We start from the raw sequence: 15,828 nt of genomic DNA on the forward strand, positions 1-15,828 counted from the left end.
TACGTATCCATTATCATCTATCTATCTATCGTCTATCTATCTATCTATCTATCTATCTATCTATCTATCTATCTAATCATCTATCTACTTATCCATCCATCATCTATGTATCCATTATCTATCATCTATCTATCTATCTATCTATCTATCTATCTATCTATCTATCTATCTTCTACCTATCTTCTATCTCTGTATCTTCTATCTATTTATCTATCTTCTACTTCTATCTATCTTCTATCTATCTATCTATCTATCTATCTATCTATCTATCTATCTATCTGCCTATCTATCTTCTATCTATCTTTAGAAGATACTGCCAAATGGTTTCCCAAAGAGACCATGGCACATGTCGTTTTAACCTTATTTAAATGTCATCAACCTCCCAAGTAAAGTTTTGCAAATACTTTGTGAGGGAGCGGGGCATAAACCATGAATGCAACAAATGCAGCAAGCTCTGCTATGATATCAAACCATAATATAAACCCCCACATCAGCCCCACCTGCTGAGGGCTGTATAATACTGCGGAAGCTAAAATGGTTCTAATAACCAGAGTAGCCTGTCGAATGTCCACGCCCACATTCCAGGGCCGTGCCAGCCAGCTGGATTATCTGATGAATGTTCCCACCACTGTGCATGGAGAAACAAGGGTTCCCTGTCAGGTCCGTCCGGGGGATCTTGGCCTTGTCCAGCACATCTCAGAATTCTGCCCATCCACCTGGCCAGGGGCCACTGTGATCGCTATCTGAGTTCTCTGCCTCCTGTGAAAACGGAACCTGCACACAGGACCCTGCCGGAATGAACTTTCTTTCCCTGGAATTCCAGACTTGCAGGGCTGTGCTGCTGCGCAGCTCCGGGCTTTGGAGGTGCTGCCCACATCATATTCTGCAGGCCCACGGATTTTCTGCTGGGCTGGAAGATCAGGGTGCACCATCGGAGAGAAGCCTGTCCTGCATGTAGGGACAGAGCATCACTATTGTCTTTGCACGGGCAGGGCACTGCCGGGAAGGAGCTCAAGCAGGCGGCTCTGGGGAGTGGATAGAGAGAAACTGGCTATTTATTCTCTACTGAAACATTCATGAGCCCTGGCGGTTAAAAATAAGATCCAGCTGCAGAGATAATCATGTAGAAAAACCCAGAGGTGAGAACAAGAACTCAGACTTGTTCAGAGCGGAAAACAAAGCTCAGAGCTCACAGCCCAGGAGTCTTGGCCGAGAAGGAGGAGATCCCATTCAAAGGATGCTGGGGGCCCCGTGAAAAGGGAGGGTGAGGCCCGCCTGCCCCGGAGCTGGGGGATCACAGAGCAAGAATCCTGGGGCCCAGGATGTGGTTCAGTGGTCTTGGTCCTGGGTAGAGAAATCTCTGGGCCCCCTGGCCAGCAGTGCCACAGAATATGATGTGAGCAGCGCCCCCCAGGGTTGGGAAGCAGCACAGCCCTGCAGTCTGGAATTCCAGGGAAAGAAAGTTCACTCCAACAGGGTCCTCTTTGTAGGTTCTGTTCTCATAGGAGGCAGAGAGCTCAGGTAGCCATTGCTATGGCCCCCGGCCTGGTGGGTGAGCAGGCTTCTGAGATACGCTGAACAAAGCCAGGAATCCCCCAGCAGGACCTGACAGGGAACCTCTGTTTCTCCATGCCCAGTCCGTGGGCAGACTGACCCTAGAGCTGCTGCCTACGGACATCAGGAATGGGAAGCCCGAGAGAGGAGGAAACTTCCACTTACCAGGGAGAGGGCTGAGCTGGGCCAGCCGGGGCTCCAACAGGTGTGCCTGAGGCTGGGGATGCCGTGTCCACTGTGACCCGGCGGGCAGCCCGAGACACCTGGGCAGGTGAGTGCAGACGTGGCCAAAGAGCCAGTGCAAGACAGCAAAGCCCCGCTCACGGCTGTTGCCGTCCCTGTGTGCTCTCCCAGACCTGCCCCTGCACCTCGTGATGCTGCCAGGAAGTGCCCATGCCTTCCACTGAACAGACGAGCAAGCAGAGGCTCTAGGCGGCGAGGTCACTTGTCCAGGTCAGAGACTCGCCTCCCTGGCCAAGGGTCGCTCCAGACGGTGGAGGGAGGTCTCACCTTCGTGGTTGACCTTGTAGTGCAGCGTGACGGGGCCGCTGCACCTCTGGATGGTCCAGTGGGCTTCCTCTTTGGTGCATGTGTCCAACGGGACACTCTGCCTCTCGCCTCGGATGCAGCCTTCTAGCTGGAGAGCAGAGACAGCGTTTGTCTCCTGGCCCCACAGGCAGCAGAGCTGCGGGAGCGAGACCGCTCTCTGTACATTGGGAAAAAAACCATCTCTCCCTGAACAAAGACTAGCTCAGTGCCAACAGGGGGAAAAAGCATCTTGTTCAGGGGGGTGCACCTGCCTCCTGCCTGCACCCTGGGAGCTTGCAGGATGCAGAAGCATGGGCGGGGAGCTGGGGAGAGAAGGGCCCAACAATGCCGACGGTCTGACCACCTTCCAGCTCCCTCCTCCTGCCCGGGGATCCATGGCTGAATGCAAGGCTTAGGGGCTCCTAAATGTCACCACTGACACTACAGTTGCAGCCACCTCCCTTGCCGCCATCCCCTCACCAGCAGCAGCTGGTGGCCCTCACGGAGGCCGGCTTTCTCGGCCAGAGAGCCAGGCTTGACCGAGTGCACGAAGCTCCCTCGCGCGTTGCCCCCCAGCAGGGTGAGCTGGGAGGTGAGGCTGTCGCCATTCAGCGTCGTGTGCTGCACCGAGGGCCCTGGGCCCCGCACGTGCCCCACAGAGGTGACCGAAGGCCGGAAGGGTCTGCAGCAGGAAACAGAATGTCAGTTAGGCAGCTGGGCTGAAAAGAGAAAAGCCCTACTGGGACACACCGGGGGTTGGTGGTGGGCGCCAGGACCCCGGTGGCATGGCCTCCTGTGGTCATCAGGCGCCTGGGTGTCCTGGCTCCGAGAAGGCCCTTAATGGCTAAGGGAAGTGAGAGCTCACAAGTGGCTCCTGCTGCGAGAAATGCAGATGAGGAGAGGAGCTGAGGCACCCTCTGTGGCCGCAGCGGCCGTGCTGGGACTGGCAAGGGCCATGTTAGGAGGGTCCCCTTGAGCGCGGCCCACCGGGCTCCACTGTGTCATGGATGGGGACTGCTGGGTATCTGGGTCCCACTTCTTTGCCTCTGCCATGCTGCATGGCCTTGGGCAAGCCCCTTCCTCTGTGGGCCTCGGTTTCTGCACCTGGACACTTGGGAGGTCAGAGGAAGTGATTTCTTTTTTTTGAGACAGGGTCTTGCTCCGTCGCCCAGGTTGGAGTACAGTGGTGCAATCATAGCTCACTGCAGGCTCAACCTCCTGGGCTCAAGTGATCCGCCTGCCTCAGCCTCCTGAGTAGCTGAGACTACAGGTGTGTGCCACCATGCCTGGCTAATGTTTAAATTATTTTGTAGAGATGGGGTCTTGCGTGTTGCCCAGGCTGGTCTGGAGCTCCTGGGCTCAAGCAGTCCTCCCGCCTTGGCCTCCCAAAGTCCTGGGATTATAGGTGTGAGCAATGCGCCCAGCCAGGAAGTGATTTCTGACTCGGGAATGCTACAATTCTGGTTCTGGCTCTAGGAGAACAAAGCCCACATGAATGGTCCCCTTTGTAAGAGAGCGAGGGGGCAAGGGGTCTTTATCCCATCCCCACCCTCAACCCCGGCTTCCCCTTCACTGGGGTACCTTTCCAGAGAGAACTTCCTGAACATGAGGTTGACCTGCTCCAGGTCGTAGGCATCCAGGCCCTCGGATTGGTGGGAGGAGGAGGAGGAGTGGATGGAGGAGGGTCCGAAGGAGTAGCGTTCGTGACTGTCATCTGCAGAGGGACGAGGGCCCATCAGTACCAGGGGTGGCGGGGAGCTCTGGAGACAGCCCTGGGACCTGCTGGGCTGGTCCCGGCACTGGGGGCAGGCTCGGAGCCCTCCTTCCCTACTCTTCCCGGGCAGCCTCCCAGGAGATGGGTCTCTGAGGTTCCCTGGCACAGATGGCTGAGTCCTGCATTGAATGTCTCCAACACAGATGTTCTCCAGCCTCCAGGAGCTTCCTCTTAGTGGGAAGCTTTATCAGGTATCTGGTTTTTAAGATTTTTTTTTTTTGAGAGAGGGTCTTGTTCTGTTGCCCAGGCTGCAGTGTGATGGTGTAATCATAGCTCACTGCAGCTTCAACCTCCTGGGCTCAAGTGATCCTCCTGCCTCAGCCTCTGGAGTAGCTGGGACTACAGGTGTGCACCACCATGTCTGGATAATTAAAAAAAAATTTTTTTTTATAGAGACGGGGTCTCACTATGCTGTCCAGGCTGGTTTTTAATTTCTGGGCTCAAGCCATCCTCCTCTCTTGGCTTTCCAAGGAGCTGGGACTACAGGCATATGCCACCATGCCTGGCTAATTAATTATTTTTTTGTAGAGACAGGGTCTTGCTATGTCACCCCTCCTGGCCTCCAGTGATCCACCAGCCTTGGCCTCTCAGAACGCTGGTATTACAGGCGTGAGGCACCGCGGCTGGCTTCATTCTGTTCTTGAATTGGGCCCCCACATTTTCATTTTGGGACCCTAAGGCCTCACCATCATCCATCAGCTTCCCGGCCCGCAGGGGCCTGAAGCAGGGCAGGAAGAGGAGGGTCTGGCCCCGATAGGAGCCCCTCCCTATCTTCTCACCCCAGGTGGACCCAGAACACCTGGAGGAAAGACACCCACTGCCCAGAGCTCTGGGTGGCTGGGATGGAGAGAACTACAAATCTGCTCGGGGCTGATAACAAAGGCTTCTCTGCAAATGGAATTTTTCCCGACACTGCAAAATACTTTGGACGGTTGCCCGGGATTCTCTCCCCTTTCCAAAACTCTTTCAATTCTTCTCATTACCCAGCCTCGATTAGGGGCTAACCTCTCTTTAACACTTGGTAGCGCTGATGCTTCCCCATTAAGGAGGACCACTCATCTTTCGTTTCATCGGTTGGCAGCCTTAGCTGGCAAAGGCTGGGGGAGCCCTGGAAGAGAGGGGGCTGGCAGGGCACACCTGGAGGACTCTGAGCCACAGTCTCCCCTGCTGCCAGCTCTGTCGGGGCCAGGGGATGCTGCCACCCTCCCTCGGTGCTGAGACAGGCTTGAAGGTGGTGATCCTGCAAGCCCGCCTTCACCCTCCCTACTTCTCCCCATCCTGCCTTGCCCCTCCAATGTCGACCTGTTCCCCTGGCCTTGCCCTTCCAATGTCGGCCTCTCTCCCCACAGCCTTGCACCTCCAAGGTCGGCCTCTCTCCCTGGCCTTGCCTTCCAATGTCGGCCTCTCTCCCCACAGCCTTGCACCTCCAATGTTGGCCTCTCCCTTCAGACTTGTACCTCCAAGGTCGGCCTCTCTTCCTGGCCTTGCCCTTCCAATGTTGGCCTCTCTCCCCACAGCCTTGTACCTCCAAGGTCGGCCTCTCTCCCTGGCCTTGCCCTTCCAATGCTGGCCTCTCCCCACAGCCTTGCACCTCCAATGTTGGCCTCTCCCCACAGTCTTGCACCTCCAATGTTGGCCTCTCCCCACAGCCTTGCACCTCCAATGTTGGCCTCTCCCCACAGCCTTGCACCTCCAATGTTGGCCTCTCCCCACAGTCTTGCACCTCCAATGTTGGCCTCTCCCCTCAGCCTTGCACCTCCAATTTCGGCCTCTCCCCCTGGCCTTGCCCCTCCAATGTCGGCCTCTCCATCTGCATTCTGTATTCCTTTTGCAGAGGCTGGTTAACAGCTCAACACATGAATTTCGCATGAGAACTCCCTGCTCCCAGCCCACTCTCTGCCCTCCTGTTCTTTCCTGTCTCTGAGGCTCCTGTCTTTATCTATAAAATGAGGGTAACAATAGCATTTCTGAGAGCGGCTGTTGAGATTAAACTGGATCAGGTATGCAGGTCGAGCCCCTCCATGGTGCCTGGCTAGAGTATGTGAGAGCTACGCTTTTTAAAAGCCCAGACCTAGCTCGCACCCTCTGCACAGCAGCCGGATGGGCCCCCATTACCTACAAGACAAAGAACAAGCTCACAGGGCATCTCTCAGCCATGGGCAAGCCCAATGGGGGACAGAGGCTTATCTTTTGTGTTCAAGAGCGACTCTGAGTCCATTCCACATAGTAGGTCTTAAGGACCTGTGACCCTCCACCTGTGACCCTCTGTGACCCGTCCTACCCAGGACCCTCCCGGATCTGAGAGGCACGTACCATCCAGATCTAAGGCGTCAAACCCGCCGCTGTCATTGTCTTCTTCGACTGTGCTGCAAGACACAAGGGAGGTGGGGGAAAGCATGCATGTGAGTGTGTGTGTGTGTGCACACGCAGGCAAGGGAGAGAGAAGCTTCTGGAAGGTTCCAGGCTTCCGAGTGGCCTTGCTTCTGAGAGGGCAGTGTGGGTGGAGGAGGTTGGGACAAGGAAGGGTGGAGTAGGCAGGAGGCTCCCTGGAAGGGTGGGTGGCCTGGAGGTCTTGGAGATTGCCTCCTCCAGCAGGGGAGGAGGAAAGCCAGGGCAGGTGAACAGAGGCCCTGCCGGCCCCACCTGCTGTTCACGTCTCTCTCACTCTTCTCCGACATGGTACAGGACAGAGATCCATCTGCCCTGTGTGATGGGTTTGGGAGCTGAGCGCCCTTCAGCCGGAGTGGACACAGCAAGCTTGCTGTGCTCTGGAGTTCTCAATTGTCTGCATGTGGTTTTTGCAATAGTGCTTCAAGGTGCAGGTGCTTTCATGCAGACGCCACATGTGGCTTCTGAAAGCTGCTTTCAACACCTGCCCCCGGCTGGCCAGAGGGTGCCCCCGCAACACAGCTGCTGGTGGAGGGGCTGGTGTGGGTCTGATTTTTTTTTTTTTTTAATTTTTGAGATGGAGTTTTGCTCCTGTCACCCAGGCTGAAGTGCAATGGTGCGATCTTGGCTCACTGCAACCTCTGCCTCCCGGGTTCAAGCGATTCTCCTGCCTCAGCCTCCCCAGTAGCTAGGATTACAGGTGCATGCCACCATGCCCAGCTATTTTTATTTTTTATTTTTTTAATTTTTAGTAGAGATGGGGTTTTGCCATGTTGGCCAGTCTGGTCTTGAACTCCTGACCTCAGGTGATCCACCCGCCTCAGCCTCCCAAAGTGTTGGGATTACAGGCGTAAGCCACTGTGCCCGGCCTAGTGCAGGTCTTTGCTGCTGATCTCTGGAGCCAGCCAGGGAAGGCCATGCTAAGAGGCCCAAACCCAGGCCCCAGTGGGACCGGGGGTGTGGATCCAGCCTCCAAGGCCACTGCTTGCTCTCTGCCCTTCTGGAAACCGCCCAACAACCTCTGACTTTGTAGGTGACGTGCCAAACCCTGGCAGGCTGGAAACACCCGTTGCCCAGGCATACTTCTACTGTGGTTCTCTTTGTGAGGACACTAATGGTTTTTAGGAAGTAAGGAAGGTGGGAGAGGAGATTGGAGAAGCCATTCATGAGTTTCTTTTTTTTTTTTTTTTGAGATGGAGTCTCGCTCTGTCACCCAGGCTGGAGTGCAGGGGCATGATCTCGGCTCACTGCAACCTCCACCTGCCGGATTCAAGCGATTCTCCTGCCTCAGCCTCCCGAGTAGCTGGGATTACAGGCACATGCCACCACACCCAGCTAATTTTTTGTAATTTTACCAGAGATGGGGTTTCACCATATTGGTCAGGCTGGTCTCGAACTCCTGACCTCAGGTGATCCACCCGCCTCGGCCTCCCAAAGTGCTGGGATTACAGGTGTGAGCCACCATGCCCAGCTGTGAGTTTCTTATTCTTTGGCAGAAAAAGCCAAGCCCTGGGGCTGTGGGGCCCGGGAACCTGATTTCTGGGCAGCATGGAGCCACGGGTCATAGGTTTTGTCCTTGGACAGGCAGCTGGGTGAACCCAGGGAGGCCGCTTCCCTCCTCTGAGCCTCAGCCTCCTCATCTGTACAATGAGCAGTACCCTGCCTTTCAGGGTTGCTTCGAGGACAGCTGGGTCAGCAAGCGTGGACTGGCCCAGAGACGGGGTAAGGAGGCTTGGCATGGTGGCACGGGGCAAAAGCCCAGTCCTCCCTCACCTGCCACCCACCTGCGATGGGGCGCGTCCTCCTTGTAGCGTCTGACGATGGAGTCGTTTCCCGGGGGCTCGGCGGTGATTGACATGATGCTGCTGCGGCTCCGGGGGGGCTGCTTCAGACACAGACACACACACGTTACGGGTGCATAAATATTACACACGCAGGGACTCAATTCAATGCAAAATCGTGCCCGCCTCCTACTCAGGCGGCATGGAGGCAGCGAGCCGGCTATCAGCGGCGACCTTGGCTGGAGGAGGCTTGTGCTGAGCCCGGAGCGGCCGCAGCCGCCGAGCTTGAAGCACATCTGCTCGCACATCTGCTCACAGGGAGGACGCAGGCGGGAGCCGGCCGGCTGGGGGACTGGGGCGCTGCCTCGCCATGGTGCACAGGCTGAGCTCAAGGCCCCCGGGCTGCACCTGCTGTGGGCACCTGCTCTAAACATGGTGAACAGTGTGGGCCTGGGGCGTGGGGAGGGCAGTGGTGCCCCGGACGGCACAGCTGCTGGAGGGCAACCTTTGAAACCAGGCCTGCTGGCTCCTGGCCAGAGCCGCTCTTAATAAGAGCCTGGGATTCTGCCACCCAGGGCAGCCATCAGACAGGAATCATTCATTATCAAATATCTGCCTCCCCCAGGGCCTGATTTTGGAAGCTGAGCTGACAAGCTTCCCAGGGCTTCCCCTTGGGGTTAGAATCTCTAATCTTGGGCCTTCTGCTGCCTGTCAGGGGGTGGGCAGTGCTGGATGCAGTGGCTGGGACCCTGCCCGGCTCTGCCCGGGTAGGGGTTCTGGGCTGGGGATGGGGCCCCAAGCCTCAGCTCTGCGGCGGCTCCAGCTGCTCACAGCTCCCTGCCCTGCCTGCCGCCCGTTCCCCAGGCTGCGGGAGTTGCCAGGGGCTGAGAAGTTGCGGCAGAATTTTCACGGCCTGTGCCATGCGCGACAGCCCCTGGGAGGCCCAGCTCCTCCTCCCACCAAGTGTTAAATTGGGAAAGGAGGCGGCAAGAAGGTGTAAATACATTGCGAGGCTGTGGAAACCTCTCTAAATAAACATAAGGGAGGCTGGGGCTGCAGCCCAGAGCAGGCAGCAGCGCTGCTCAGAGGCTGGGTCTTGGGGAGGAAGGCGAGGTGGGTCAGGGCTGGTGGGGTGGATGAGGCTGGGGCCCCGGGACGGTGCTCTGCAGCAGGAGAGGGTGTTGGGGGATGAGCTGGTGCCCCGGATGGCACTCTGGAGGGAGAGAGGGTGGTGGGGATAAGCTGGGTCCCTGGATGGCATTCTGCAGGGGGAGAGGGTGGTGGGGATGAGCTCTGGAGGGAGAGTGGGTGGTGGGCATGAACTGGGGTCCCAGACACTCTTCTGCAGGGGGAGACAATGGAGGGGACCTGCAGATCGGGCAGAGGCTGCAGCTCACCATCTTGGTGAAGGAGTTGGTGATGGGCAGAGATCCGCAGGAGCTAGGGCTGGCGTCCGTGCCTTCTTCCTCGTGCCCCTTGGCTGTCCTCACGGGAGACGAGATGGGAGAGACAGAGAAAGGAGAAGGGGGCCGGGGAGGGTTTGAGGTGGAAGAGAGAGAGGGGAGGAAGAGAAAAGGTGGGGAAAGGGAAGTCAGAGCCTCATGGCCCATAGGCACATGGGGCTCTCTGGCATCATCCCCAACCTCCTTCTAACGAGGTGGGTCTGGGGCCTCTTCTCTCCCTTGAGGGCTCACTCCACTCTCTGTGGCATCTGCTGGAGAAAGAGCCCTCAAAAACCTCCTCTTGCTTTTTATCAAATTTTTTATAGAGATGGTGTCTTGCTATGCTGCCCAGGCTGGTCTTGAACTCCCGGCCTCAAGCAATTCTCCTGCCTTGGCCTCCCAAAGCGCTGGTATCACAGGCATAAAACCATCTCTTCTTTTCCTGTCTCCCCCCACCACAGTAGGCTCCTGGCGGGGAGGGGGTGGTGGGTCTCATTTGCCAACATATCGCAGCTCCCAGCGAGGGTCACCCCCTGGGCAGCCTGGGTCAAAGCTGGACAACGCCATGTGTCTCTGAGGACTGGTGTGGGGTCCCCGGCTGGCATTTTCTGTGAACAATGGACAACCGGGGCATGAGTCTTCCTGTCCAATTCTCTGCCATCAACATGGACTCTGCCTCTCCCCGACAAGCAGGGCTGGCTGATGGGGATGAGGACAAACTGGGGGCCAAGTCCGTCACCTCCTCAGTGAAGCCTCCCTTGATGTCCCTGCCCCAACCCCTGGCTCTGTGGTGGGTTGCCTGGGGACCATGTGCACATCCTCTCAGCCCTCCTAAGACGGCTTTGCTCTCTGTGTCCCCTCCTTGCTCCCACCCTTGCTGTGTGTGCCCGTGTTGTGTGCACAGAGAGATATACGTACATGCACCCCCATCAGTGGATGCCTTGTGGGGAGGAACCATATGCTGTCCTTCCCTGGGCCCCCAGCACCTGGCACTGGGCAGCCTATTAAGGTCTGATGAGGAGCCCCATGGCCACTGCATCCTGTCCCTTCCCTGTGATGCAACCCCCTTCTCTGCTTCCTGCAGGCCCCAGGCCCTTTGCACCTCCCTTCTGATACAGAAGGCCACTGAGACACCGGATGTGGCCGTGAGGGAGCTGGACGGGGCCCCCCGCCCTGGCCTCCCTCTGCTGCCCTCCGTGTCCAGAGAGAACGGCCTTAAGCACAGGTCTGCACTCTTCACTCTCCTGCCCACCCCAAAGCCACCTGGGGGAGGCTTCATCCTTGCCATGCAGGATGAAGTCCATATCTTCAGTGAGGCGCCCACAGTCTCAGCCCAGTGCTCTCCTGCTTTACGCTCTGGGGTGGCAGGGCGGCTTCTGCCTGTGCACCTCCTGGTCTCCACACCTCTGTTTATGGGCCCCTCTCTGAGCTGAGGAGTACTTCTGGACACTGTGTCCCTCCACCAAAAGGCTCCCTTTTCCAGCCCCAGTTTAAATGTCCACCCCGCCCCCACATTTTTCTTTCTTTCTTTTTTTTGAGACAGCGTCTCACTGTGTCACCCAGGCTGGAGTGCAGTGGTGCCATCTTGGCTCACTGCAACCTCTGCCTCCTGGGCTCAAGTGATTCTCCTGCCTCAGCCTCCCGGGCTCAAGTGATTCTCCTGCCTCAGCCTCCCAAGTAGCTGGGATTACAGGCATCTGCCACCACGCCCGGCTAATTTTTGTATTTTTAGTAGAGACAGGGTTTCACCATGTTGACCAGGCTGGTCTCAAACTCCTGACCTCAGGTGATCTGCCCGCCTTGGCCTCCCAGAGTGCTGGGATTATAGGTGTGAGCCACCCCACCCGGCCAAATGTGCCCTTCTTGATGGATCCTTCTCTGACCTTTGTCCAGCCACTCTCAGGACCCATGCACTTTCCACCTCCTGGCTGTGGCCCTGCCTGAGTGTGTGGGGTCTATGGACATCTACTTGGGCCTTCCAGCACCTGGCACATAGTAGGTGCTTGATTTGCTTAGGCAAACCCTTCTAGCCGATCTGTCACTCCCAGAGACATGGTGAGGACAAAAGAGAAGATTCTGAAGGCAGTGTGTCTCGGAGAACCAGGGACTGACGAATGAACCAGCCTCCTGTGAAGTCCTGTGGGGGAACACCCGGCCAAAAGTCTTGGAAGAGGGTCAAAGAGTCCTTTCGCTGAGAAGCCACGGGCAAAACGCACAGTTCAGCTAACGCACCAGGGATTCCGGACAGACCCACCGGGAGAGGCGGGGAAGCGTGGAGGGAACCACAGAGGGGACCTTTCAGCAGTTGGGCTCCTGCCTGCTTTGAATGACGATGAACATTAATTGCTATTTGGATGGACCCCCACCACTCCGAGACCCCCGAGAACCCGCCACGTTTACCACGCAGGATTGTTCGTTACAGTGGGAGAAACAGATGGACCGAGAGAGACAGAGTGACAGATGAGACAGGCCAAGAGAGATTTGGGCGTCTCACTAACCTTGAAAATCTGATGTTCGCTTCAGGCTGATGGGGGATTTGGCTCTCTGCAGCTAAAAGGGAGGGGAGGGGAAGAAACAAGACACAAGACACAAATCAAACAGGGACCTAGACACATGTCACTGGGGCTTAGAAAAAAATAGAGAGAGGCCAGCCATCGTGTCCCTCGTCATACGGCCACCAGGTTCAGCCCGGAACGCACACGGACCGATGCTCATCTCCCGCGGCCGGGACGACAAGACACAGCGGCTCCCCTGGGCTTGAATCAGGCAGCTGCTGGTATAGACAAGCTCTCCTCCCAGGGCGGCCGTGTAATATGGCTCATGGCAGAAGACAGGACAGGAGCCAAGAGCGGCAGAGGGGACCAAGTGATGTGCGGGGAGTGTGAAGCTGAGCAGAGCTGGGTACATGACACAGAGCAGGTTTCAGAAGAGGGTGAGGCTGCCAGGCAGGTGCCCTGGCCACCCCCGGCCCGGAGTGCTAATGGGGTCTCAGTCAGCTCAGATGTGCTGCCTCAGGCCTTCTGGCTTGGCGTGTGGAAGGCTGGGAGAGGCAGAGGCATTGTCAGGCCCTGCTGTGGCATCTCATTCATTCACTCATTCCCTCCCCATCGAGAGCCAGCCGTGGGCTTCGGGTTGCCCGAGATTCTGAACACAGTGACAGGATTACTGCTAACTCCAGCTCCTGGGATGGTGCCTGACATGTGACGGGCATGTGATTGGCACTCAGTACATATACTCAATACATATGTGATGAATAAACAAATGAATTGGTTTTTTTTTTTTTTTTTTTTTTTTGAGACAGAGTCTTGCTTTATTGCCCAGGCTGGAGTGCAGTGGTGCGATCTCGGCTGACTGCAACCTCCGCCCTACTGGGTTCAAGTGATTCTCCTGCCTCAGCCTCCTGAGTAGCTGGGACTACAGGTATCCACCAACACGCCCGGCTAATTTTTGTATTTTTAGTAGAGATGGGATTTCGCCATGTTGGCCAGGCTGCTCCCGAACTCCTGACCTCAGGTGATCCGTCCACCTCAGCTTCCCAAAGTGCTGGGATTACAGGCGTGAGCGACTGCACCAAGACTGAATTTGGAAATGATGCTCATTTCATTCTCTTTCCCTCCTTCCATCTTTCTTTCTTTCTTTCTTTCTTTCTTTCTTTCTTTCTTTCTTTCTTTCTTTCTTTCTTTCTTTTTCTTTCTTCCCTCCTTCCATCTTTCTCTTTTTCTTTCTTTCTTTCTTTTCTTTCTTTCTCTCTCTTTCTTTCCTTCCTTCCTTCTTTCTTTCTTTTCTTTTTCTTTTCTTTCCTTTCTTTCTTTCTCTTTCTTTCGTTTCTGTTTCTTTCCTTTCTCTCTCTCTCTCTTATTATTGAGACAGGGTCTTGCTCTCTCACCCAGGCTGGAGTATAGTAGTGCGATCATAGCTCACAGCAGCCTCCAACTCCTGGGCTCAAGTGATCCTCCTGCCTCAGCTTCCTGAGTAGCTGGGACTACAGGTATGTACCACAATGCCTGGCTGTTTTTTTTCTTTTCTTTTCTTTTCTTTTTTTTGAGACACTTGATCTTCCTATGTTGCCCAGGCTGGTCTGGAACTCCTGACCTCAAGTGATCCTCCCGCATTGGCCTCCCAAAGTGCTGGGGTTACAGGCGTGAGCTACCATGCCCAGCCTGTCTTTCTTTCTCTCTCTTTTAATGTCTATTACATTTATAAGAGTGAGGAAATCAGTAAAAATGTACAAATGAGTAAGAAGCGAGTCGCAGGATTTCCAGCTTACAGGGTTGAAATAGGGTGAGTCACAGTCTGGGCACCCAAGACCCACCCAGAAGCAGGCGTGGCTGTGCTGCCCCATCGCCGCCTGCAGGGGCCCCCGGCTCACAGACCCTCTGCCCTGCACCTGCGCCCCCTCCCTCCACACCCATGCACCTGGATGCCCTTCAGGTTCATCCTGCGCTGGGGCGGATGGTAGGGCAGGAAGTACTTGCTGTCTTCAGGTGACTCCTCCGAGGTGGAAGAATCGTCAGCTTCTTGACCATTGGTCCTGGGGCTGGCATCCCCAAAGTCCTGAGAGATGATGGTTACTGGCAGGTTCCTGGGCAGACTCTGGGGACAGAGAAAAAGCTGGCGTTAGTGGTGGGGCTTGGCGATGCGCCACCAGTGGGCAAGATGGCTGGGCTGATGGCATCATCATTCCCTCGGCCACCCGAACATGAAGCTCACTTTGGCCATTCTTCTTTCCTGACCCCAACCGTAACCCCAGACACTGAGCCCCCATCAGTCCAGCCTAATGATGCATCCTCCTCCCAGGCTTCTGGTCCAGTCTCCCAAACAAGCCCCGGTCTTCTTGTACAATGGTAAAGGCATTGCCTCCTAACTGGCCTCAGCCCCTTCCATCTCATCTGCCACCATGAAATTTCCAATTTCTAGCCCTGTGCCTGAGCTAAAAATATAAAAAATATTCAGAATGACTGAATGATGTTAAAAAAAAAACACACACACACAGTCCTAGGTACTGTCTTGTCTGGAGCGCTTCATAGCTGTCACCTCATTGAATCCTTCCTGACAAGTAGAGGTTGTTGTTGATAATTGCTTTTTACAAAATAGGAAGCGGAGTGCTGTAGCATGAAGGAACTACGTGGCCCACAAAGCCACATGGCACCCGCATGCTGCGCTGCCTCCAGACTCAAAGCGTCTTGTTCCACTCCCTGTGCAAAATCTTCCAGGGGCTCAAAACAGCAGTAGAGCTCCTGGGTGTGCACAGCCCACCTTGGCGTGCCCCGTTAACCCCCTGCTGCTCCTTGACTCCCACTCTGCAGACGGATGGAAGCGCCGGTCATGCCCTGCTGACAGCACAGTGGGCTAATGCCAGGCCTGTGTTCACGCTGTAACTGCAGCCGGGAGCACGGGTCCTCCCAAAGTGCTGGGATTACAGGCCTGAGCCACCGCGCCTGGTCAGGGTCCCTTCCTTTGTAAATGAGGACACTGAGCATGCTTTCCATGCAGGACAGTTCCGTGGGGTAAATGAGGTAATGCACAGAGGGCACATTGCGTGGCACCTGCACGTGACAGCACTCGGTAAACCCAGAGCTATAATAGTGGTAACATTTACCCTGGAGGAGGCATTCCTTCATTTCTCAGTGCCTGGAGCCCTGCTGGGAAATGCACTCTGCAATTCACATAGTCCATAAATGAGGGTTTACTCACAAGCACTAGGAACCGTAACGACCACAGGGTGTCTTAAACCCAGTGACGGTTCAGGTGTGCGGGGGAACCCCAGTGGGAGGCCAGCAGCTGGCTGTGGTCACTGAGAGGGCACTGAGGCTCCTAAGGCAGAGGCTGCCCAGCAAGGAAGTGGCCAGGTCAAGCTTGCCTTTTTTTTTTTTGAGATGGAGTCTTGCTCTGTCACCAGGCTGGAGTGCAGTGGCGTGATCTCGGCTCACTGCAACCTCCGCCTCCTGGGCTCAAGCGATTCTCCTGCCTCAGCCTCCCGAGTAGCTGGGACTATGGGCACGCACCACCACGCCTGGCTAATTTTTTTGTATTTTTAGTAGAGACAGGGTTTCACCATGCTGGTCAGGCTGGTCTTGAACTCCTGACCTCGTGATCCACCTGCCTCGACATCCCAAAGTGCTGAGATTACAGGCGTGAACCCTCGCACCTGGCGCCCTGCATCTTCTTATTTATGTTTTTAATTTTAATTTTTTAAATTTTTAAAAATTTTCGCTCTGTTGCCCAGACTGGTCTTGAACTCCTGCCCTAAAGCGATCCTCCCACCTCAGCCTCCCAAAATGCTGAGATTACAGGCATGAGCCACTGTGCCCAGCCCTACCCTGCATCTTCTAACTTCAAAATGAGTGGCTTCCACTCATCA

At 55.7% G+C, this 15,828-nt stretch overlaps 1 protein-coding gene across 2 annotated transcripts in view, besides 1 other annotated feature; it reads right to left on the bottom strand.

Annotated features, from left to right (window-relative positions):
• The window catches only part of CARD11 (caspase recruitment domain family member 11), a 137,726-nt gene that overhangs the window by 14,428 nt on the left and 107,470 nt on the right, over window positions 1-15,828 (bottom strand). For both annotated transcript variants that reach the window (NM_032415.7, NM_001324281.3), the window contains 8 exons: window positions 13,884-14,060; window positions 11,966-12,017; window positions 9,423-9,505; window positions 8,029-8,129; window positions 6,170-6,222; window positions 3,664-3,796; window positions 2,563-2,764; window positions 2,065-2,191 (listed from right to left, as the gene is read on the bottom strand). In NM_032415.7, the coding sequence (NP_115791.3) occupies window positions 2,065-2,191; window positions 2,563-2,764; window positions 3,664-3,796; window positions 6,170-6,222; window positions 8,029-8,129; window positions 9,423-9,505; window positions 11,966-12,017; window positions 13,884-14,060 (928 nt within the window). The remainder of the gene's footprint in view (window positions 1-2,064; window positions 2,192-2,562; window positions 2,765-3,663; window positions 3,797-6,169; window positions 6,223-8,028; window positions 8,130-9,422; window positions 9,506-11,965; window positions 12,018-13,883; window positions 14,061-15,828) is intronic.
• Window positions 2,500-3,216: an enhancer, noted in NCBI's record as "H3K4me1 hESC enhancer chr7:2962703-2963419 (GRCh37/hg19 assembly coordinates)". NCBI's record gives its function as "activates a minimal SCP1, AML or CMV promoter by ChIP-STARR-seq in naive H9 embryonic stem cells {active_cell/tissue: H9 hESC(naive)}" and the evidence as "EXISTENCE:reporter gene assay evidence [ECO:0000049][PMID:30033119]".

The sequence above is a fragment of the Homo sapiens genome, chromosome 7, assembly GCF_000001405.40.
Source record: "Homo sapiens chromosome 7, GRCh38.p14 Primary Assembly".
In the NCBI taxonomy this organism is placed as follows: Eukaryota; Metazoa; Chordata; class Mammalia; order Primates; family Hominidae; genus Homo; species Homo sapiens.